This window comes from Homo sapiens, chromosome 5 (assembly GCF_000001405.40).
Source record: "Homo sapiens chromosome 5, GRCh38.p14 Primary Assembly".
Taxonomy (NCBI): Eukaryota; Metazoa; Chordata; class Mammalia; order Primates; family Hominidae; genus Homo; species Homo sapiens.
In genome coordinates, this window is record NC_000005.10 from 157350207 (window position 1) to 157374750 (window position 24544).

At 43.3% G+C, this 24544-nt stretch overlaps 1 protein-coding gene and 1 long non-coding RNA gene across 10 annotated transcripts in view, besides 1 other annotated feature; one reads left to right on the top strand and one right to left on the bottom strand.

Annotated features, from left to right (window-relative positions):
* Window positions 1-24544, top strand: part of CYFIP2 (cytoplasmic FMR1 interacting protein 2) — a 129472-nt gene that overhangs the window by 84084 nt on the left and 20844 nt on the right. For all 8 annotated transcript variants that reach the window (XM_011534516.4, NM_001291722.2, NM_001037333.3 and 5 more), the window contains 3 exons: window positions 8799-8942; window positions 10076-10166; window positions 11262-11392. In XM_011534516.4, the coding sequence (XP_011532818.1) occupies window positions 8799-8942; window positions 10076-10166; window positions 11262-11392 (366 nt within the window). The remainder of the gene's footprint in view (window positions 1-8798; window positions 8943-10075; window positions 10167-11261; window positions 11393-24544) is intronic.
* Window positions 11990-12200: a silencer, noted in NCBI's record as "fragment chr5:156789204-156789414 (GRCh37/hg19 assembly coordinates)". NCBI's record gives its function as "represses an EF-1alpha promoter that drives an FKBP-Casp9 reporter gene in an ReSE screen in HepG2 liver carcinoma cells and phorbol 12-myristate 13-acetate-treated (for megakaryocytic differentiation) K562 erythroleukemia cells {active_cell/tissue: HepG2 | K562(+PMA)}" and the evidence as "EXISTENCE:reporter gene assay evidence [ECO:0000049][PMID:32094911]".
* The window catches only part of NIPAL4-DT (NIPAL4 divergent transcript), a 97486-nt gene continuing 85350 nt past the window's right edge, over window positions 12409-24544 (bottom strand). For both annotated transcript variants that reach the window (NR_136205.1, NR_136204.1), the window contains 2 exons: window positions 14320-14399; window positions 12409-12998 (listed from right to left, as the gene is read on the bottom strand). This is a non-coding gene — a long non-coding RNA (NIPAL4 divergent transcript). The remainder of the gene's footprint in view (window positions 12999-14319; window positions 14400-24544) is intronic.

The window sequence follows — 24544 nt, forward strand, 5'->3', positions numbered from 1 at the left end:
TCTAGAAGGGTTTTTCAGATGTTATCTTATAAAATTTTTATGGTTTCAGGTCTTAGATTTAAGTCTTTGATCCATCTTGAGTTGAATTTTGTATAAGGTGAGAGATGAGGATCCAGTTTCATTCTTCTACATGTGGCTTGCCAATTATCCCAGCACCATTTGTTGAAAAGGGTGTCTGTCCTTTCCCCGCTTTATATTTTTGTTTGCTTTGTCAAAGATCAGTTGGATGTAAGTATTTGGCTTTATTTCTGGGTTCTCTATTCTGTTCCATTGGTCTATATGCCATTTTAATGACATTACCATGCTGTTTCGTGACTATAGCCTGATAGTATAGTTTGAAGTCGGGTAATGTGATGCCTCCAGATTTGCTCCTTTTGCTTAGCCTTGCTTTGGCTGTGTGGGCTCTTTTTCAGTTTCATATTCATTTTAGCATTGTCTATTCTAGTTCTGTGAAGAATGATGATGGTACTTTGATGGTGGGAATTGCATTGAATTTGTGGATTGCTTTTGGCAGTGTTGTCATTTCCACAATATTGATTCTACCCATCCATGAGCATGGGATGTGTTTCCATTTGTTTGTGTCATCTATGATTTCTTTCAACAGTATTTTGTAGTTTTCCTTGTAGAGGTCTTTCACCTCCTTGGTTAGATATATTCCTAACTATTTTAATTTTTTTGCAGCTATTGTGAAAGGGGTTGAGTTCTTGATTTGATTCTCAGCTTGGTCGGTGTTGGTGTATAGCATGAGCCTTTAGGGTTTTCTAGGTATACAGTCATATCATCAGCAAACAGTGACAGTTTGATTTCCACTTTACTCACTTGGATGCCCTTTATTTCTTTCTCTTGTCTTACTGCTCTGGCTAGGACTTCCAGTACTATGTTGAATAGAAGTGGTTAAAGTGGGCACCCTTGTCTTGTTCCAGTTCTCGGGGGAAATTCCCCCACTTTAAAAATGAGAATATTATAATGCCTGTCTTGTAGTGTTATTTGTAACAGATGAACCCATGTCTGTAAAGTCCTGGGCTTACGAATAGTAGCTGTTATTATTAAGAAGAAAAGGTCAGTGGTTCAGAGCCATTTCCTGAGTTGGTCATAGCTTCATCCAGAGGCTATAATGAGCAAAGTTTACACCCTGAATTGCATAGCACTTCCTTGCTTTTCCTCTCTTAAATCACTTTTATTGGTTTTATTTTTTAATGTATATGCTCATTGTACATAAATAATATTGAAAAGTTCAAAGATGACAGTAAAACTCATACAACTCAGAAACTTGGGAACTTTTTCTGCATTTAACATGTGTGTTCTCGTTTTACAAACCACATGACAACTCCTTGAGATCGGCCTTCTTATCACCATTGTACAACGGGAGAGACTGAAGCTCAGCGGGGCCGGCTTGGCTGCTCTCACAAAGCAAGGTCCTGGCAAACAATGGTGTAAGCCTGGGCCTGTTGGCCACTAGAGCTGGAGATCCTGGCTGGCCTCTTTGATGCTCTGCTGCTCTGCTTGTACCATCCTGTAACCTGTGATTCTTCAGTCCATAGTAGCCCTTTGCTTTGTGATTAGCTTCCCTTGAGAGGTAGGGCCAGGACTTCATAGTATGGTGGACTCCAGAATGCTGGAGCAGGTGAAGAACTAAAAGCTCTTACAGAGAACATCTAACCACCTGATGTGGTAGCGTCAGGGAAGACATCAACTCATTTGGAGAAATATGACCAGCAAGTGTTTCCTCTTCTGAACAGGCCCTACTCTGGAGTCTAAGTTCTTCTGTGCAAGAGCTCTGTCACTTAGAGATGATGCTCAATAAAACAAAACTTTAACAACTGGTCAAGTAATCAAAATTAATATATGAATCAAAACTTTAAGAATATATTCTCTAAATAAAGTAAATTATATAGAGTCTATCCTAAAACTGCCTTCCAAGTGACATAGATTGCGGCATAAAGCATTCATTCAATTATTCCAATAACTTCCTGGTAATTTTTTGGCCCTTAGAAATTGTTGGTGTGATCTGTTTGGCCTGGTTGTCACAAGCCCCCATCTGAGGCACAGTTTGACCTCAGGCAAATGCATCATACCGTCATACTACCACAGTGCCTCCCTTGTTAAATCATATCCTTAGGACCCAGAACCCAGTGCTTTGCTGCAGCAAGCTGGGCACAGCTCAGCTGGGTACACACCTGGATGCCAACACTGCCCGCCTGGGCTGACCAGGGGAATCTTGGTCCCTGTGACACCACCACCAACAGCACCTCCCACTTCCCTGCCACCACCCCACCCTTCTGTCTGCATGGTACCACTTCTACAAGGTAGTTTACCCACCAGTCCAGAAGGCTTTTGTGATTTTGGCAACCAATACATATGGAATTTCCTATGCAGAATTTCATCTTGTATCTCACCCCAGACAAGTCACTTCATTACACTTGGGATTCAGATTCCACTTCTGCTAAATGGGGATACTTGCACTGCCTTACCTGGTTTAGAAGGCTGAGAATGTTTCCCAAAGACATCAGGTCCTAATCCTGGAACCTGTCAATGTAACTTTCTTTGGAAAGAGGTCTTTGGAGATGTGATTAACTGGAGGACCTTGAGATGGGAAGATAATCCTGGATTATCTTGGGTTATGCTGGGTCCTACATGCTATCGTAAGTGTCATAAGGGAGAAGCAGAGGGAGCTTACACATGTAAGAGGAGAAGGCCATACGAAGACCCAGCAGAGAGATGGGAAGATTGGAGTGGTGCAGCTGCAAGCCCGGGATTGCCGCCAGCCTCCAGTAGCTGAAGAGACGGGAAACAGATCGTCCCCTGCAGTTTCTGGAGGGAATGTGGCCCTGCCGACACCTTGATTTTGGCCTAGTGATACCAGTTTGGATTTCTGGCTTCCAGAAGCCTGAGAGAATACATTGCTGTTGTTCGAAGCCACCAAATTTGTGGTAATTGTTAGAGCAGCCACAGAAAACAATGTGGGCGGCTGTGACGGAATTCGTATGTGAAAAATTCACAGAGAAGCTTGATATACTTGTGTGTCATCACATGAGTACTGATTATCAAGAAAAGTGATGACATTGGTTCCCTTCAAAAGTTTTAGCATCTCTGAGTGTGACAGTGTTGATGTGATCTCTCAGCTGGAAGGCTCGGCTCCTGTTCCCCTGCTTGCCTTTTCCAACGCACCTTATTCATAGCCCAGGAGAGAAAGGAGCGTCATTTCTTGAGATCTGCATAGCAGCTCTTTGGATCTTTCAGCCTCTGAGCTGAGAAGGCCAAGAAGGAACCCAGATGTTGGAGACCCAGCCCTATGGCCCCCCAAATGTCAAGAACAGACAGACAGACACATAGACACATTAGTAGTTTTACCCAAGCGTTTACAATGGATTTGATCCTGGAACTGAGAATTGATCAGTCCTTGGCACTGTCTTGCTCTGTGATCTTCCCGACAAGGACGATGCTGCTGTTTTATTTTTGCCGTCGCCTTTATTTACCTGCAGTGATTTTAGGGAATTGAGCTGCAGCCATTCCACCTAAATTAGAGAGCTGTGTTTGTGTTTGCGGGCTGATGATATCCATTAGAGAAATTGTAACAAAAATAGGAAATTAGGAACAGTTTAATTCCTCTTGGGATCTCTGAAAACAGCAATTGTGATTCCAGAGAGCAGAGATGCAAATTGCTTACAAATTCAGTTTACCAAGTAAATAGGCCTTACTGTTTGAAGTGGCTGGCCGTGTTTACCATCTGATGAGATAGAGGCCTATCTCAACGGATAGATGAAAAGTCTGTATACAACATTTAAACATGGCTAAAATGGTGAATTTTATTTGTATATTTTGCCACAACATTTTAAAGTTCATCTACAGATAATATTACAGTGCCCAGGATCTGCCAGATTAAACTCACCATATTTTTTTCTCTCCTTAAAAATGCTTTTTTGCTTTTTTTAAGAAAATGCAGGTCTGCGTCACACAGTAATAACATGGCTCTAATTCCTGAATCAGGGTTGTTTATTTCTTGAGATCTCATAAAGCTATCTATTTTGTGTAGTGTGGATTTAAATAAGCTTAATTTTAAGTGAGCCATCCTAACCAGGCAGGATACATAATTAGTTTCCTATGAGGCCCATTGATTGGAACCTATCAGTTAGCAGAATTGGTTCAATGGCAAGTTTCCAATGGCTCATGTCATGTTGCATTCTTGTTTTTCTTTGCCAACCCTCAGAAAATGCCCAGGCTCCCCTATTCCCACATTTTCTCAATAGGGCCCAGCCTCCTATTGAGCCAGCAGGTCAGATGGGTGCCCTTCGGGGATGAGTGTGTGTGTACTTTTCAGCATGCGTGTGCATTTCTTCTTGCATGCGTGGGGTATATTTGGGGGAATGAGGGGTCGGGGGGGATTTTTTTTAATCTTAGGAGGAGGATTTGAATTCTCCTCATTTCATGCTGGTCCTTCTCACATGAAATGCATCTTGGACCATCAACTGAAGCCTAAACTCCCAGTCTAGACCAGAATCCAAGACTGACATAGGAATGTCAATCAGGGGCCTCCAAAGTGAACCGAGTGGGTGTGTAGGGGGCATTTTAAAAATCCTTACGTGGTAAAACAGTTCCAATACTATTCTCCGCCTCTGCCTAGATCTGGGAATTCCTGCTGAACAGTTTCCATATATGTAAATGTGTATTTATTTGTGCTTGCCAGGAAGTGTTCAGGGAAGCTTGGTACTAGAAGCTCCTTGGGTGGCGGTGAGGGTTTAGGACACCACTCAGAAGGATGAGCGTCCAGGAAGAATGCGTTTCAGCTTGATCCTCTAGAGGGAGCACGTCTATCCCCACTTCCAGCCCTTGATGGGACCCCTTATAACAACCCTGTTGTTATAAGATACCTGCAGTGAGGAGGAACTCCACCCAGTACAATCTGTTACTGAACATCTCCCATTTTTATGATGTTCTTAATGTTGAATAAAATGCATTTTTTGGTGCATTCTATCAACTAGTCCTGGCTCTCACCTCTGTCCTATCACTTTGTGGGGTACATGCTGTGTTGCATAAAATTACCCCCCACATATGCACTCCCCTGTTTACAATCAGAGAATCGTAGCTGTCGCCAAAGCTGCTGGGGGAAATTCGACCAGAAAGCTGTGTTTTTGTCTTTATTTACCAAGTCATCAAACAAAATAATATTAATGGCTATTTTTTCAGTGAGCGTTTCCAGTGTGCCAGGCACCATGCTGACTGCTTTATATATGTGATCACATTTAAACCTCAAACAACCCTATTGGATTTGGTATTATCATCTCTACTTAGGGGAAATTAAGGCTTAGAGGGTTTAGGTAATTTGCCCAAGAGCATCTAACTAGTGCATTTACAGACCTAGAATTTGAACTGAGGTGTGCCCACCCCAAAGCCCATCCTATGGACTCAGACAAGCTAGAAAAGAAGTCAGAGAATCAGACAGAAAATATAAGTAGATGATTGCTTTTTGTCCCCTCCAGTGATATCCATTAGAAAGCTGCTTGCTACTCAGAAATTCCTTTCTGAAATATTTGAAAAGGGGACAAACGAGAATGTGCTGAGAGCTTTGCTGGGTTTACAGGAGAAGCCTAGAGTCCCTGGTGTGGGTGGAGAATGAGAAGGCTGTCAGGGCAGTCCATGAGCACTATGTTCCCATGGCTGTGAGCACAGCCAGGTCTTTGTCACCTGGTGCCTGTGCTGGCTGAAGCTGCAGCCCTCTTCAGGAGAAAATTTAAAGCATGTTTCTGCTTTTTAACCTTTGAAAATCATGTTGGGAAGGTGAATTAAGCTATGACATAGCTCAGTGGGATTTTTAAATTTACTTTTTTATTGAAGTATAGTCATATTCAGTAAGATGCACTGTCTTTGTCAGTTCAGCCTGCTATAACAAGAATACCATAAGCTGAGTGACTTGAATAACAAACATTTATTTCTCACAGTTCTAGAGGTTGAGAAGTCTAAGATTAAGGTGCCAACAGATCCAGTGTTTGGTGAGGGCCCACTTCCTGGTGTGCAGATGGCCCCTCTCCTCACTGTAGGCTCCCATGGCATAGAGGAGAGAGAGACAGCAAGCACTCTTGTCTTTTCTGATGAGGGCACTGATCCCACTCATGAGGGCTCCACCCTCATGGCCTGATCACCTCTCAAAGGCCCACCTCCTAATACTATCATATTGGCGGTTAGGATTTCAACACAAAAATCCTAATTTGTTCGTGATTAAGATTCCAAATCCTAATTTGGAAGGGACGCATTCAGTGCACATGGCACAGATCATAATTGTATGTACAGTTCTGTGAGTTTTGACAAACACTTCTATGTAGTCAACAGCCCAGTCAGGATGTAGAGCTTTTCCATCACCCTAGGAAGTCCTCTCATGCCCCTTTCCAGTTAGTCTCCTCCTCCCACCAGAGGTAAGCCATGGCTTGTTTGGTGATTGCTATGTATTCATCACCTCCAGAGAGGGAAACAGGAGAATACAGAGTGGGGCTTTGCTAACAGGGCAAAAACTAAGCTGCACTCGCTTAGAAGAGTACACGCCTCCTAGCATTTTGCATATCCTACATGCCTCAGTCACCTCAACCTAGTAGTCCTGGCCCCATTTGACAGGGTGGCCTGTGACAGAGGCACTCAAATAGATTTGTTCCACACCTAGAAAATGACATGGCCTGGCCCCACGGTTAGCTAAATCAACTCAGCAAGTCATACACTCCCAGGATTTGCTGAACATCAGCTTCAGTGAACATCATACTCTTAAGTCAGTTCCATTTTATCCCTATGTAAGCTATTACTGGCCCATACATTTCGAAGCTAAATACAATAAGTACCTCCCCTAGGTTCAGGCAGAGCTTGCTGTGACAGCTTCTCAGTGTCATGTACAAAATTTTGCTCCTTCTCACGTTCCAGGCCTCCCAATATCTAGGCATGAGCTCACCAAGAGAACTATTACTGAACCTGGTGAATGAGTGGGTGTTCTGATTCTTCACAAGTCCTTGCTATTAGTGGGCACTCTAATTGTGTTCGTCACGGATCCTTGTTATTAGTGCATACTTGTGATGCTTGTTTTGTAAAGTTTAGAATAATTCATACATACGTACCTAATTCAAAACTTAGACTGAACTCAATTAAATATTTTCTTGATGGCTCCAAAGGGAGTTGAAAATCTTGCAGTACTCCAAAAGCATCATTAGAATTTCCATTTAACTGATGTATAATTTCTAACTAGCTAGCTAATAGAGAATTTCAGTGAATGGAATATCTTATGTGGTCATCCCATAAATTGCATGTTCCATGTACAAGATTTTTGCAATTCCAGTTGGGAGAACTACACTCAGAACTAAGTTTTGGGCTGGGTGCAGTGGCTCATGCCTATAATCCTAGCACTTCGGGAGGCTGAGGTGGGAAGATCACTTGAGGTCAGGAGTTTGAAACCAGCCTGGCCAACATGGTGAAACCCCACCTCTACTAAAAATACAAAAAAATTAGCTGTGCATAGTGGAGGGCACCTGTAATCCCAACTACTTGGGAGGCTGAAGCAGGAGAATTGCTTGAACCCGAGGCAGAGATTGCAGTGAACCGAGATCGCACCCCTGCACTCTAGCCTGGGCGACAGAGCAAGAATCTGTCTCAAAAAAAAAACAAAGAAAAAAACCTAAGTTTTGAACTGAAACCTTATGTAAAAAACTGAGTATCATTTATATAAGAATTCAACTTCCAAAATACACCATGATAGGTGGAGCATGGGCTTTGGAATCAGCCGTACCCACTTCAGGGTGAGTGCAGGCTTTTTCCCACCTGAGCCTCAGTTCCCTCATCTGTGAAATGGGGCTAATAATGATATAGATCACATAGATTTGTCGGGTGGATTAAACAATAGTGCACCTGGAGGGTTTCACAAAGCCTGGCATTAGGTGCTCCGTAAGCGGCAGCATTTCCAGAACAGAGCGTTAGAGTCGATGATAACTTTTCATTCTCACCAACCAAGTGAGACCAGTTTAGGGCCCTATAGCATGGTTGTATATACTCAGACAAAGATCTTAAAGAGATCCTTCAAATTCAGTTATGGTGTCTCATGGGGTTCAGCGGACAATGGTGGTGGCCAGGTCTGTGGGTCCCCAGCCAGCATCAAGCCAGAGCAGCTCCATTTTGCCTGCTTCACATATGAAGTTCTGTGGCATCTTTCTTTTGGATTGCTGCTCTTAAAGTTGGGAAACCACTGACTTAATCCAACCCCTCATTTCATAGATGTGGAAACTAAGGCTCGAAAACTGTAGGTGGTTGTCCCATGCACTCAGCAGAGATCTCCTGACTCCCAGGCCTGTGTGTTCCCAGGACCCTGCCTGTCATAGATGGAAACAACTAACAGTAGAGGAAAGATGACAATGTTGAACCAGCTGTTGAGTTTTCACATGGTTCTTCCAGCCAATGTCTAGTACTAGTAATGTCTCTTAAGAAAGGATATCGGCTGTTTATCTTTTCCCCCATGGCTCAATTTGTAAAACTCCTGGTTTGGGTGTGGAACGTCATGGGTGGCAGGAATCCCTGTAAAAGGGGTATTTGCTTGGAAGCCCTTTATCCTCTTCTGCTAGGGAGTGGCTGCTCCATCTGGTGACTGTGCGCCATCCTGTAGTCACTGACCACACCTCTCTCTATGACCACCATTTTGCAAACATATTCATGGGGCTCCAGTGAGCACGCTCGTAACACTGGGTTCCTAATGCTTCTGTCAGCAGAACATCTGCCAGGACTCCACCAGTGTCCATTCAGTACTCAGGCACTTATTTGCCACTACCTCTGTTTTCCAGCCTCTCAACATTGCCTACAGCCACATCTACAGCTCCTACAGGAATTTCGTGGGGCCACCTCATTTCAAGACTATCTGCAGACTCCTGGGTTATCAGGGCATCGCTGTGGTCATGGAGGAACTGCTAAAGATTGTGAAGAGCTTGGTAAGGAAAGGCCTCAGTGTGGCTTGAGATATGCCCATGTGGGTTTGACATAAACAAAGTTTGCTTTTACTTTTTACCTGGCCTGTAAAAACAAATCCCAGGCACTGCAGCTCTACCTGTAGAAACCACTCAAGGAGTTCCCTTGCCCATATCCCTGGATTGGTCTTACCTATCATTCTGTTACATTTCTGTGCACATTTTGACCTATAGCTGTGCTCCTCATTTTCTGACCCCCAGACTCCTTGTATTTGATGACTGAACTCAGAAATCCTGATATTGTCCTTCAGCGCTTGCCACTGACTGCTCATCCTCCCCAGCTGTGCTCCATTATCTAATTTGAGCAGGGCAAATTCATGACACATGTGCTGCCATTTTCCACGCCCTTACCCATGGCAGACATCTCTAATCAGGCATCATGCTTCTTTCCCTTGGGATTTCTTGCTGAACACTGCTCCCCATACTGCACTGGCTTCAAGAGAGTTCTGTATCCCTTTACCACTATTCTGAATCTGCCCCAAATATGGTCATCTGAATTTCATTTAATTTCCTGCAACACTGCTGAAGGCCAAAACATTTAAGATGTTTATGAAAATTTCAAATGATGAAAGAGAAAGTAATATATAACCAGGTCAGGAATAGCAAATAGGATTAATCTGCTAACTCCAATTCTTTGGCAGTAGCTTTGTGGAACCATGGGTTGTTACAGATTGTGGAGCTAAATCCAGAGTAAAACAAGAAAATGTGGTAATTGATTAAAGATGTCTGCCTTGGGCACAGGAGGGATGAATGTGCCATGAATTTTCCAGGCTGAAATTAAATAGCATGTTTCAATCTGCACAATTTCCTGGCTCCATTTCATTTTAGCTCTTTGTCTGAATCTGCTATAAGCATCCTCAGCCCCAGGAAAGACCCTACACCTAGAAATGTGCCCTCCTTGAAGTCTGTAAGCCCAAGACAACGAGAGAGCTCCTTTTTCAGTCTTATAAAGGCTTATTTTCCCTTATAAAGGTCAAAGGGACTGTTCCCCGCCTTTAGGCAAGAGCCTGCCCCATCCTCTCAGAGGTCTCAGCATAACCTCCATACCCCGCATAGCCCAGAATTCAGCCCACTCATCTGTACTCTTCTTTTGTCAGCTCCAAGGAACCATTCTCCAGTATGTGAAAACACTGATAGAGGTGATGCCCAAGATATGCCGCTTGCCCCGACATGAGTATGGCTCCCCAGGTTGGTGATAGCAAAACAATCCAGACCCCTCCCATGGTGGGGAGGGAGGCTCTGACCATCCACCTTAGAGCGTTTGCTTCTCTAACATGCCAGTGAGCTGGCAGAGTACTGGCTATCCATCCTACCCCGCCACTAGCTAGATAGCCTTTTAATCCCTCTGAGCAATGTTATCATCTTGTCAGTGTAGGGAGATGATGCTTGCGGGACCTGCCTCATGGGACTGCTGGGAAGTTGGAAGAGGACAGCAAATGTAAGCATGTTTAAATAATGCAGAGCCAGGTTATTAGAAAAGGTATTTATGAGCTCAGCACCTCCAGGAGCTCTTCCTCCATCTGCATATTTGGGGAGACTGAGGCTCCAGGCAGTGGTGCCAAGTTGACACATCTAAGATAAGTCAGGAAATGGACATCTTTGCTGTTTGACCGCTGGGCAGAGAAATAATCATTTCCTTCCTTAATAGTGAACTGAAAACAGGGCCTGGAGAAGAGGGAAAAATGGGGACTGTGAATTGGCATCTGATGTTTCTTTCCAAAACCAAGATGTCTAGTGCTGGATCTGTGTGATTCACAATAGGAAAAAGATAAGGCTAAAATTTCTGGTGTTCAGTCCCAGCTGCCCTACTTACTACCTGTGTGACTATGGGCATGCCCCTTACCCTCTCTGAGCCTCATCTGAAACCAGGGTAATAGTGCCTAGTTAGTGATATTGTATTAAATGAGATATTACAGATAAAGTGCTCAGCACAATATCTGACACCTACTAATAAATATTAATTCCTGTCATGATTAGGAAGTCAGGCAACTTTGGAGGGACTGGGAAGGGTCCAATGGTGCCTCATTTGTGTGCCTGTGTTTGTGTGTGTGTGCATGTGTGTGCGTGTGTGTGTTCTGAAAAAGACATGAGCCAGCTACTCGAACTTTGTCCAGTACTGAGCCCTGAAAGAAATCTCACTCTGGGCCTGCAGGTAAGAGGGATGCGTGGTTTGGCTTTTTGCTATCCCAGAGTCAGGTCTGGGGCTGCCACTCAGTCATTGTTTCCCATAGACCCTACTGAGCAGTGTCAACTTCCCACTGACCACCCCGATTCACCTCCCAGGGATCCTGGAGTTCTTCCACCACCAGCTGAAGGACATCATTGAGTACGCAGAGCTCAAAACAGACGTGTTCCAGAGCCTGAGGGAAGTGGGCAATGCCATCCTCTTCTGCCTCCTCATAGAGCAAGCTCTGGTAAGTCCAGAGCCCAAAGGAAGTGGGGTGTCTCCAGGTTGGAGGGGATGCCAACCCCAAGCAGATATTGAGGCTCCTGCAGCATTGATTTGTGCTTTGAGTACAAGCTCACATGCTCTTTTCAGTTCATTTCCAGACAGACATGGATTCTAGTCCTGGCTCCCCCATTCACGATTAGTGCAGTTGTCTAGGTCTCAGTTTGCCATTCCCTCATGTTATGGAACCAAACTGGGGTCCACCTGCCTGGCACAGTAAAAACAAACATCCACGCTGAGGTTTACTGCAGGAGAAAGGAGGGTGTTTATTTTCAGAGTACCAAGCAAGGAGAACTGAGCAGTTCTCTCTTAACACCCCACCTCTCCAATGGCTTGCAAACAAGGGTTTTTAAAGGCAGGGGTAAATTTCAGGAAAGCAGAAGTTTCAGGCAAAGTTATAAGTCATTGTATGGAGGTTACACATTGGTTTAGCCCAAAGGGGCAGGCTATCGTCTTGAAGTGGGTGGGGGCTTATAGTCATAGGTAGATTTCAGAGAGTTTCTGCTTTGCAATTGGGTAAGGAAGAGAAGCTTTGTTTTAAAATTTAGGGTCAGCAGAAAAGAATGTTAGCTCCAGCTTGTGGGTATGGCTTCTTCCAGGCCTCCTAAGAATAAGTTTAGAACAAAGAACTGGAACTGCGGTCAGAGTTCGGCCTGCAGTTCCCTCTTATCTGAGGTCTGCATGCATGCCAGCACATCTGTTTGGTGTGGGTCCAGGTTTCTGAAAAAGAACTCTGGTTCATATGTGAAGATGTTATCTTTAATTTCTGTAGGGAATCAAACATCCCATGATTCTAGCTTCCTTGGCTGTTGTTTTAAGTTAGTTACTATTACCTTCTTGCTTATCAGCTTGCTTATTTACTTCTCAGGGCTAGCTAGGTGCCTGGAATTTCCCTTGAAGAAACTCAAGATTTTATTTCCATGCTTGGCGGGGGCGGTGCTGCAGGGCCCCTAAGAGGGTTCCCTGCTCCATCTCACTCATTAGATAATTATTCCTTGGATATCATAGGACAGGCACTGTTCTGGGGCATGTAGCAGTGTCCAGCCCTGCCTCCTGTCCTGTCCATATTTACACCGAAATCATGTGTCTACTGTTACAGCAAGAGCTAGGAGGGGTGACTGCAGGGTCCTGTGGGAACAGAAGACAGAGAACTCGATGTGTTCTTGAGGTTGAGGAAGGACTTCTCTGGGGAGATGGCCTGGAGAATGAGCAGGAATTTGCCTGGTGAAGCTGTCCCAGGCTGAGGGGAGAACATGCACTGTTACCTTCATTTCTTATGATGGGGGACAGTTGTTTTACCCTGCAGGATAGTTTCAAGGCCAGAAAGATACACCACATGTAAAGCTCATGCAGTAAGAACTAAACCATTGGTAGTGTTGTCATATTGAACAAAGCACACCCCCCGTACATCTCCCTCTTAGGACCCCGCAGAACCAGCACTCTTCTTCCTGCATGACCACTTGTATTTGCTCTGCCTCATGGCTGACTCAGAGACTGTGCTCTCCTCCTTCCTCCCCAAGGCACTCCAGTTTGTCTCTGTTCTCCACATGGTGCTCCCAGTCGGCCCAGTCCTACAGGTGTCGAGGTAACGGAGAAGGAAACAGGATGTTACTCTGGGATGCCTCATTCTCAGAACCTAGTGGGAATCTCTTTTAGCATCCAGCCATCCATCCACTCATTCAGCAAGAGGCGTGGCGAGCCTCTTCATTGCCAGGAGCAGTTCTAGGTTGTGGATAAATGGTCATGAATAAGAGACAGAGTTTTACCATTTTTATTCCAGAGAGGGGAACGAGCAAAGTCGTAACAATCAGAGTGTGGTTGCAGATGGGGAGGGGAGCTGTGAAGGAATACACAGGATAAAGGGAGAGTGGCTGTGTCAGAGAGAGATGTGCTGTTTTTGAAGAGGCTGGAGCTTGGTCTTAAGGAATAGGGAGGACCTCATAGTGAGCTGGTGCCAAGGGGACAGAGGTTAGAGCCGTGGAGGGAGGCAGCCAGGCAGCAGGTCACTGGGGCTTCGTGGGCCACCACAGGATGCCATGTGAGCAGCAGGTGAGGGGGTCTGCCTGGCTGTTTTCAAAGGCCTGGGGGCTACTGGGAGAGTGAAGGACAAGGCTCTTACAGTCTAGAGCCCATCTTGGAGGCAATAGGTGCTTGGAGAATAGACGGGAGGGGAAAGGAGAAGCCTGGAACAAAGGTAGAGAGATAATGGAGCTTCTGAATCAGAGCCAGAAAGGATGCCTTGCCTCTAATTGTCTTTGTGACTTGGGATGAACCAGTTCATTTCATCCCTCAGTGCCCCCGTCCCTAAAATGAGTGACTTGGACCTGCCATTCTCAGACTCTCCCTGAGAGGCTCTGAAATGGGGACTGTTTGCGCTTCCTCTATAAGGAGTAATTGCTTCTCTGTTACCCCTTAAATGGACTCTCCAGACAGCTAATTGATAAGTTTTTTACACAGATCAGCAGACCCAGGTTGCTATAGCAACGTAGCCCTCAGAAGTCGTAGGGATAAATAGGAACAACTTCTGAAGGCCTCAGGGGCACCAGAACAGTGGAGGTGGGGCGGGGTGGCGGGGGGGGGTGGGTCCCTGAAGCCTCAGTCCCCGAGTGTCTCCTGTTAAGCACCTCTTTTCATGAGGAACTGTGACTCAGAGACCATCAATTCAGCTTCCCCTGTTCAGAATCCAGAGGCAGACTATTGATGGGGGCCGCAAGGAAAGGACCACTTCCTCAGGCACCGTCTGGGTGGTCACTCACATGTATCACTGAGGACAACAGGACACTCAATGACCTTCAGAGCTGAGACCTGAGACAGACCCGCTACAGCATGAATCTTTCAACCCCTTCTATTCATAAGTGAGAAAACTGAGAACCAGAGAGAGGAGGAACTCACCTGAGGTCACACAGCATAGCAGCAGCAGAGGTGGAAGAACTAAAGCACAGGTTTCCAATATTGATCCCAGTCCTTGGGGGCTAGGGGTCGGGGAAGGATGGGGAACACAGAGCAGGGATTAGGCTCACTGAAGTCCTCATTCTGCTTTCTACTTAGACAGCTGGGGAGATCTCCAAGCCTAGACAGTGCTTTCTGAGATTAGAATGAGGCATGAGCTTTCTGGAGTTTTTTTAGTTTAGGAAGCTAGAATTAAATTTTTAAATGACATACCAATTCTTCTCAATGAAAGAAGACTACTAATTGCCAAAAAAAAAAAGGAAAGATGCCTAATGGCCATCATAGAGGAAAGGCTGTATAAACTGTGGAATGTCCATTCTCATGGAAAACTCTGAAGCAGGTAAAAAGAATAAGCTGATAAAGTAGTTTTGCACATACCAAGATAAAAAATAGTGAAAGATACAATATTGAGCTTTAAAAAGTTTTAGGACAAGACACACATGATGCCATAGATATAAACCACAAATAACTCTGCATTGAAAAAGATCTAGAAAAAAAAAAGCATACCAATATTTAACAGACATTTTCTCTAGGTATGAGGGAGGAATCCAGGATTAGAGGTCAACAGGGACTTTTTAGCCTTATCTGGAATGTCTTAATTTCTTACAAGGAAAGCACATTCATGTATTATTATTGACCTATAATTTTAAAATAGTATATGCTAGTTTTAGAAAAACTGGGAAATACCAGAAAGTGCGAAGGAAAAAGTAAGAAATCTCTTGCCCATTTTACTTTTCCATTTTTTGTCTTTTTCTGCCTTTTTTTAAAAAACAGATTAATATATCATTGATAGGTAGAGGGATATAAATTTAACAGTTGATCACTTGGACAAAGGTATTTTCCTCATGAAGTTAGTAGGTGCTTATAAATATTTCTCAAAATTCAGGGTGCAATATTAGTACAGAAACCCAGGTACCTGTGCATCATTTTTCTGGTTTTTGGTTTTTATAGGGTGTTCTGGTGGTTTCAATTAATGTATTACAGTCAAATGCATAAATCTTAAGTGTACAGCTTGATGAAGGCACATGTCCATGTAGCCCAGGTCTAGACGCAGAACATTTATAGTACCATAGATGGTTCTTTCATGCCCTCTTCAGTGTTCCGCAAGGAATCGTAGTTCCGAGTTCTATTTCCAGAGATAGTGTTGCTTGTCCTTGAACTTCATGTAGAGTTATCTAGTATGTTTTCCCTTTCCTTTCTGACCTCTGTCATTCAACATTACATTTGAGATTCATCCATGTTGTAGATGATCCATTTTTTATTACCGAATCAGTTACTCTAGTATTCTCATTGCATGAACAGACTAACTGAATCATCCGTTTTACTGTGGGTGGACATTTGGGTTGTTTATAGTTTGGTACTATTATGAATAATGATGTCATGAATATTCTTGTACATGTGTTTTGGTGTATAGATGCTCCTGTTTTTATTAGGGAAATACCTATTAGGTTAGCTTCAAAGCAGTTTTCAAATTGTACCAATTTATACTCCCATTCAGCAGTGTATGAGAGTTATCATTTCTTTGCAGCCTCATAAACAATTTGTCCCTCTTTAATCATAGCCATTCTGGGGGGGCTGTCATGTTTCATTATGATTTTGATTTCCCTAATGATGCTGATTCTCCTTCCACATGCTACTAGCCATTTGGACACCATCTTTTGTGAAGTGCTGGTCAACATTCTTGCCTTTTTAAGTCATCTTTCTTATGGATTTGTGGCCATTATATACTATGGATACATGTATTGCAGATCTATTACTCTGGCTTGTCTTTTGGTGAATAGAAGTTCTTGAGGCTTAGTGTAGTTATTTTTTTCCCTTACGGTTTTGTGATTTGTTTAGAAAACCTTTCCTACTCTAACGCGTGAAGATGGGCTATCCTCTGAAAGTTTTAGAGGTTAGTCTTTCAACGCTAAACAGACCTTTAAGTCCATATTATTCACCTAGAATTGATGTTTGTGTTTAATGGGAAGTATAAATCTTTTATTTCCAGATTGTTCTGGCACCACTTCTTGAAAAGACCTTCTTCCTGCAATCTGTAGTGGTAGTGCTATGTCTGTCATTTATCTTGTATCCATAAATGGTCTGGTCATCGCAGCCTCTTAATATATTTGTTGGATCTTATCTGAAACAAATCAGCATTTGTTAAGTATTTTTATATGTATCAGGTTTTTAAAGGAAATTCTATTAATGTCTAGTGTTTCCTCTAGTATTTCCTTCCCTGGGAAATCAGAAAGTGGTCATTAGGGAAAATAGCAGTCACTAAGTTTTTGTTTAAATTTTGCTTGGTTTTCTAGACTTTCGGCCATTGTTTGTTATGCCAGCATACACCAGGAGAGGGACCTATTTGTACGTGTGAGGGAAGGCAGGCCTGAGTCCCCCGGGAAGGACAGAGCCCTTTAGTCTGCCTTTTACTGCAAGGCCTCTTGCCTGGAGTGTTCTTTGCCTTCATCTCTGTTACTTCTTCTCTCCTTATTAGAGTGGACCACAGAAACACTCCGGTCAGTCATTTGAGAGCATTACTGCCCTCACCAGAGGTGAGGAGAGTCTAGACCCAAACTCACAGATCCGAATGCCAGTCAGATCTGGAAAGGCCCCCAGAGACCATCCAGGGTTGGTTTCTCAACCTCAGCACCACTGACATTTGGAGCCAGATAATCTTTTAGGGGGTTGCCCTGGACTTTATAGGATGTTGAACAGCATTTCTGGACTATATTCCAGTAGTACCCTTCATTGTGGCAACCAATAATGTCTCTAGATATTGTCTGATATTCCTTAGGAGGGTAAAACCTCCCCCTGTTGGAAACTGCTCATCTAGTGCAACCTCAAATTTTGTAGATAGGAAAACTGAGGCCCAAGAGGGAGCTGATTTTCCCAGCATTACAGCTAGTGCAGGAGTCTGGATGAAAACCAGATGTGCCTTGGAGTCCAAAGATCCTTAAGGTTAGCGTATTACAGTACAGACAGATGCCCAGCTGAGCTTTGCCGATTGTTTTTGTTCTTTTCAACAGTTCCATCTCCACATCTGACCTTCTGTCTCCTACTTCTACCTTTTAATGTCTTTCCTCTAATTGTTTTATTACATAATTGAAATAAATTCATTGATTGAAAACTCAGAGAAGCAGAAAGAAAACAAAAACCACTTTGTCACACTAAGATGACCTCTGTTCACTTTTTTTTTTTTTTTTTTTTTAAGACAGAGTCTCACTCTGTTGCCCAGGCTGGAGTGCAGTGGCATGATCTCGGCTCACTGTAACCTCCGCCTCCCAGGTTCAAGCAATTCTCCTGCCTCAGCCTCCTAAGTAGCTGGGATTACAGGCATGCACCACCACACCCAGCTAATTTTTGTATTTTTAGTAGAAGAGATGAGGTTTCACCATGTTGGTCAGGCTGGTCTTGAACTCCTGACCTCAAGTGATCTGCCCACCTCGGCCTCCCGAAGTGCTGGGATTACAGGCATGAGCCACCATGCCCAGCCGACCTCTGTTCACATTCTAAAGGATATTCTTCCAGATGTTTTTATGTTCTAGCAGATTTTCTCATATAAAATTAGTAGTTATAAAAGCAGTACTCACCAAAGTGAGAAGAGTGACTGCCTCTATGGGATGTGATGGGTGACAGGGGCACGGGAGAAGTGTCTCTCACTTTTTAGACTTTAAATTATTGTTTAGATTTATTGCACTAAATATTTATTACTTTTTTCCTTAAAAGGAAAGACTCATACATAGCAAATGTACACAATTCAAATGCATGGAAAGTCAAAAAGTAAAAGCCCCATCTCAGCCACCCCTCTCAGACCGTCACTCCATACACCCACCTGTGCTTGATCCAGGATGATTTTGCCCATCACTCTGAGGGAAAAAAAACTCCTCCAGCTGCCCAAGAAGCGTGTCCTGTCCCTTTGCCCAGGCACCCACAAGTAATGCCTCTGGCCTTTCTGTATGAGTGTTTCTCTTAGCCCAGACACAGATTATGTTTTTGGTTGAAAACGATCCATGCTTTGTGGAATGGAGGCACTTTGACTCCCAATAATACCCTTCCTTTGTGTGACTTTATTTACATCTTTTCAGAAATGGCCTTATCTGAAAAACAACCTGCTAGTGTGAACATATCAGGACTTGGGAAAAAATGGTCTGACAGTTAAGAGTCACTGGTTCCACAGACAAGACCAAGAGCCCCATGAGCCAGAGTGAGAGACTCCAGGGCATATCCCATCCATGATGGCACTGTTCACCACCCACCTGCCGGTTGTCAGCACAGAGGGTTACCCTCCAAGCCCTCCAGTGGTGGGCAAGATGATCCCAGAGGTTTTTTGTTTTTTTGTTTTTTTTTTTTTTGAGACAGAGTCTCACTCTCTTGCCCAAACTGGAGTGCAGTGGCACAATCTTGGCTCACTGCAGCCTCCACCTCCTGGGTTCAAGCGATTCTCATCCCTCAGCCTCCCAAGTAGCTGGGATCACAAGCATGTGCCGCTATGCTTGGCTAGTTTTTGTATTTTTAGTAGAGATAGGGTTTCACCATATCGGCCAGGCTGGTTCTAACTTCTGACCTCAAGTGATCCACCTGCCTTGGCCTCCCAAAGTGCTAGGATTATAGGCATGAGCCACCGCGCCCGGCCATTCCCAAAGCTTTTAACTATTAACACACCATTTAACAATAGCAACAATATAGATTTGACTGATAAACATTTATCAGTTAAAGTTTTGTTCAGAATTTTACTGATGAAAATTTGTAGTCAGAGACCCTCAGCTTAGATACAAAATAGAGTGAAAAATGGCATAAAACAAGAACTGATCCATAGAAACAGGAGACAGAAGTAATAGGAAAGATTTCCCAGGTAAAGGTCATTAGCGTATCCTCAACACCTAACACAAGGCTCATTAACCATAAATCAGGGGAGGGACATTTCAGCTTCCTCCTGGTGTAATGTTTATCCTCTAAAATCCTCAAGATACCACCATTTGAGACAGAGGCAATCCATCACCTTCATCCAAAGCCAGCTCAATTTTTGCTTATTTTGTGAGCCTTACCAGTAACTGCCAAGAAACCAGAGCCTTGGTTATGTAGTTCTGTATCAATGACTTTTCTGTGAGGACACCCCCAGTGGGCAGGGTCATATTACAGTCTGCGCTACTGAGTATTATTCTACAATGGACATCGCCAAGCACCAGGGAGGCAGTGCAGGTTAGTGCAATGGTCTCAACTATGGCTGCTCATTTAAATCACTTGGAAATCTGCTTAAAAATTCTGATCTCTGAGGCCTGTCACAAGGAAAACAAAATCCTTGAGAATGGACCTAGTTTTTTTTTTTTTTTTTTTAAAGACAGAGTCTTGCTCTGTAACCCAGGCTGGAGTGCAGTGGCGTGATCTCGGCTCACTGCAACCTCCACTTCCTGGGTTCAAGCAGTTCTCTGCCTCAGCCTCCCGAGTAGCTGGGATAACAGGCACCTGCCACCATGCCTGGATAATTTTTGTATTTTTAGTAGAGACCAGGTTTCACCCTGTTGGCCAGGCTGGTCTTGAACTCCTGACCTCGTGATCCATGCGCCTCAGCCTCCCAAAGTGCTGGGATTACAGGCATGAGCTACCACACCTGGCCAGACCCAGATGTTTTAAAAGCTCCACACTTGACTCTGATGTGCAGTCAGAGTGGAGGATCTCTGATCTAGAAGCATTTTCTTGGACTAGAGCTGCCAGAGTCTTGACATTGATGCTTAGTTGTCACAGTTCTTGCCACATCTGCAGATCACTGATTCTGTTATTTACATAATCTTTTTACTGAAACTTAATTTTAAAAGGAAACTATCACTTCCATTTAAAAAAATCATCCCTTGCCATCATTAGAAAGCAACCAGAATAATACATTCAATCAATCAAAATACAGCAAAGTCATATAATTCCAGCTGCTGCCTGCCCAGATCTCTGAACACAAGCCCTACTCCCTCTTTGATAAAAACAAGATTAGTAAATATTAGGTGCTAACATGTGCTGGTTTCAAATGGAGACTTTCTCATTAAGGTTGTCAGAAAGATTGATAGGAAACTGAAAAAGGAAAGAACTTGCTCACTGTGTGGCTCACTATGATTAAATCACATTTCCTTGTATGCCCAATTTCCACTTTAGGAAATGCTAACCTTGGAAGACATTGGCATATACTTGAGGGAAGAGAAAGCCCACTTTCTAGGCCACAGTTTCCTGGCTATAGATCTTTTCCAGTTGACCAGACATGATTCTGATCCAGAATAATAATTCTATTATCCCCTTGACAATTCAGGGGACGGAGGAAGGGGTTGGAAGTGAAACATAGTAATATACAGCACTATTCAAGCAAGGCATAGATTGACAGGAAAAGATCACACACAGAATCAGGTAAGATTAAATTACTGATAGATTTAGCAAGGGCTATGAAGAGCTGCTGGAAGTGAGGGACCAGTGGAACAGGAGCAGAGACAGCGTCTCTCGGTTGGGCTTTCCACTGCACCTGGAGTCCCAAATGAGGGCTGGAAGCTGTGGCTTGTACATTCTGTGCAAGGGGAGAGGGTCATGGTGCAAGTGGGAAGCCTAATTTCTTGCCTGCTTCACAGGCTCTGTATCCTCGGGGCTTAACATCAGTATGCGGGAAACACATTATGTGCCTCCATATAAGGGAATGTTTAGAACACTAAGCTCTCTGGTTAGGGCCCAGCTCCCCGTCCCCCTCCTGCCAGAAAATCCAAGCAGCGATCCCTGTGGGGTGCCTGGACCTCCCATTTCCAGCTCCTTTCTCCATACAAAAACATAATGCATTAGTGTTATTTGTCTTTTTGTTGCCTCAAAAATCAGAGTTAAAGGTTAAGAAAATACTGGTTTGATGATGCTCTTTAGGAAATCAGCTAAAAATGGTAGTTTTTCACTCAGCTGTGAACAGAACCCTAAAGGTAGAGTCTAATGCCATTCTGCATAAATCTGGCATTCTTAGGATCATATTGAATCTTTTTAAAATATGTACGCGGAATCTTTATGGTAGCCTGTAGCCAAGAGAAATCAAGTCTCCAGTTAGCCTCATAGACTAAGTGAGTTGGGAACACTTAAGGTTTTTGATATTTGATGGAATCCCTCAGTTTTAAAACTAGTGGTCCATCAGTTTTAAATTAACTATAATATGAAAAGAAAATTAAATTAAGACAGAAAGTAATGCAAAAATAAAACATGAATCCCTTAAATTCTGATGTGAGTTCCTTACAGTAAAATATTTTTGCATCCTGACCCTAAAAACCTTTTTTGCTTTTACTGTCAACACAGCAATTTTACAGTAGACAGACTGTGGTTCTTAATCACCTAATGATTATTTCTCTTGTAGTTATCATATAGTGGGAATAATAAACATTAGCGTGACACTTGGTACATGCAAAACTACTGAATCATAACTTTTACTCATTAACTCCTCCCAGAGAGAAACTTCTGCAGAAGCACAAGCTCCTGGGAGTTCTCCAAGGAGGGATCGTTGAAGTTCGTTGTTTTTGTATAACAATTGCATATTATTCACACTTTGGAAAACTCATCATGGTTAGATCCTGGTTCCACAAAAAAGCTATAAAAGAAACATTTTAAGAACAATTGAGGAAATTTTAGTCTAGACTACATCGTGTATCATATTAAGAAAATTTTAAATATAGGGGAATCACAATTCTGAGGTTGCACAGGAGGATGTCCTTGTTTTTAGGAGTTGCATGCTTAGGTATTTAAGGCTGAAGTGACTCAATGTCTTCCATTTACTCTCAAATGACTCAGTAAAGTTAAAGCAAATATGACAAAATGTTCATTTTGACTGTACATCAAGGTTATAAGGATATTCATTATTCCTTCAAATATTTTATGTGTTTAGAATTTTTCCTAATATGAAGTTGAAGCGGGGGACATAAAACTTCAACAGGGGATCAAAAAGTTAAGAAGGAAAGGGGTTAAACCAGACAAGGTTGTGACATATGAGGAGGAGGAAAGTCATGAGGGTTTTTGTCTTTTCCAGCTACCCTGCTAGTTGGTAAGATCTATTCTTGGTAACATATATCCCGGAGCTACATCTGGCCTCATTAAAAAAATTTATAGACGCATTTGCTAGCATCGAACTTGGCTGTGACTTACAGGCTGACCACCTATTTGATTTACCATGAGGAAATACCAGTTTAAGATCCAAGAAAGACAAATGAAGCCAGGGAAGCTGGCCGGTCCAAATTAGAGGCCAGTGAGAGACCCTTAGAGAACACCTCTGGCAGCCACCCTCCTCCCATTGGCCGTGGTGGGAAGGCTTACCTTCTGCTTCAGGAATACTAACAGAGAAACACACACACACACAAATACACACACAAAGAATGCCTTCTCCCTATGCTCTGTTTAAGAGAAATGTCTCAAACCCAGCTCCACTGAGGGTCACTGCCTTTCCACGCTTGAGCCGAGAGAGGGTCATGCCTTAACATTAACAGCAAAGGGGTCTTCATACATTATAAATTTTATACTCTCCAGCTTAAAACTAACAGGTGGATTCTTGTTATACTTAAAATTCAAACTCCCAACTTTGACCCACAAGGCTCAGAAGATTTCAGCCATGCCTATTCCACCAACTTATCTATTATTACCACTCTCTGCCTGGCTGCACAACCCAACCACATGGCATACTTTGGGGGTCAAGTTACAGAGAAAGAAACTGAGGTTCACTGCAGGTCTGCATCAGGGCAAGACTGAATCCCACTGTCCTTGGCTTCTACCTTAAGGCTTGTTGACATTTACGACCTTGGCCTTGTAATTCAAGGGCACCAAGAACACCCCTTCAGCCCCCCAGAAAGAGCACTGCCACTTTCTATCACAGTGTCTGAAATTCTATTAGAGACTCGCTCCATGGGTTTGGAATGTTATCTGATCTTTAGAAGGCCCCACTAAAATGGGGTTGCCGAGATGTGTTGGGAGAAAGAGCATGCTCTGAGAGCTGGTACTTGAGTGAATATTCATTTATCAAATAATTTTGAGGAGTAGGATGATCATTTTAAAAAGGATGTAGGATAACTAAATATAGGCCCAAAAAAATCCAGATAGAAGCTTTGTACTGCACATGGGAAGATGCTGATAGTATATACTAAATGATAAAAATAGATTACAGAAGAGTAGGTATAATCTGTTCTTATTTTAAAATATATGCTGAAATGGTATGTGCAGAGAAGAACTGGGCAGTTCAAACTCTGGAAAAGGCTATAGCAGTGATGACTCCTGGGTGGTGGAGTTATACATTTTTTCCTCCTTTAAAAAATTTATCTGCATTTTCTAATTTTTTGAAAGCGAACATAAAGCTAGCCAATAAAAAGAAAAGAGGCTAGAGTGGCAATCATTAAAACATATCTAAGCTAGTAATTTTCCAGAGGACAGTCTTTGCCTAGGGGTTGAATTAAGTATTTGGTGCATTCCCAGAAGAAAATGACAAATTTCAAGTCAAATACCACATGTACAGTAACTAGATTATTAATGATGATGGTCATTGGAAATCAAGAACAGCAGATTTGTAGTTTGAATGCCACTGCCCTTTTCTAGTTCACCATGGCTGTCGATCGATCCTGCTGCACCTGAATTGGTGTCAGAATCCTCTCCAAAAGCCACTGCTGCCTCTCAATAGTGGTTGATGTATGAGGTGACCCCAGGGCCATCACTAGCACACATGTTGCCTTCAGGAAATCATAAAATGGTATCCTTCCTCAGGACATTTCACCTCTTTTTAAATATATTAATTTTTAAAGAATAACGTCTGCTAGAAAGTGATTATAAACAATCTCTGATTCTGCAGTGTGCTTGGCATTCCCTAGGATGTGATGCCCTTGGGTACTACACTTGCTACATAAACTATACCCAGCAGCCTTGGGTAATAAACTCCCCCCATACCCCCAAAATAAGCACAAACCCTGACAAGATGGTATCATTGTCTCCCAGCAAAAGCAGCAATGATCTGAGACCCCTGGAAACTGCCCGTTGTTCCAGCATTGCAGGTGCTGGCATTTGTCTTGCTTTGGTATCTGGGCAGCAGCTTTCCTCCTGAAATGCCCACTTCCACCTGGTCAGATGCACAGTCCTGTACGGCAAGGCAATGTAGCAAAGCCCAGGACACTAACTGGATAGGGCTCACCAGTCAGCTGTTCCTTTTTCAAGGCAGCAT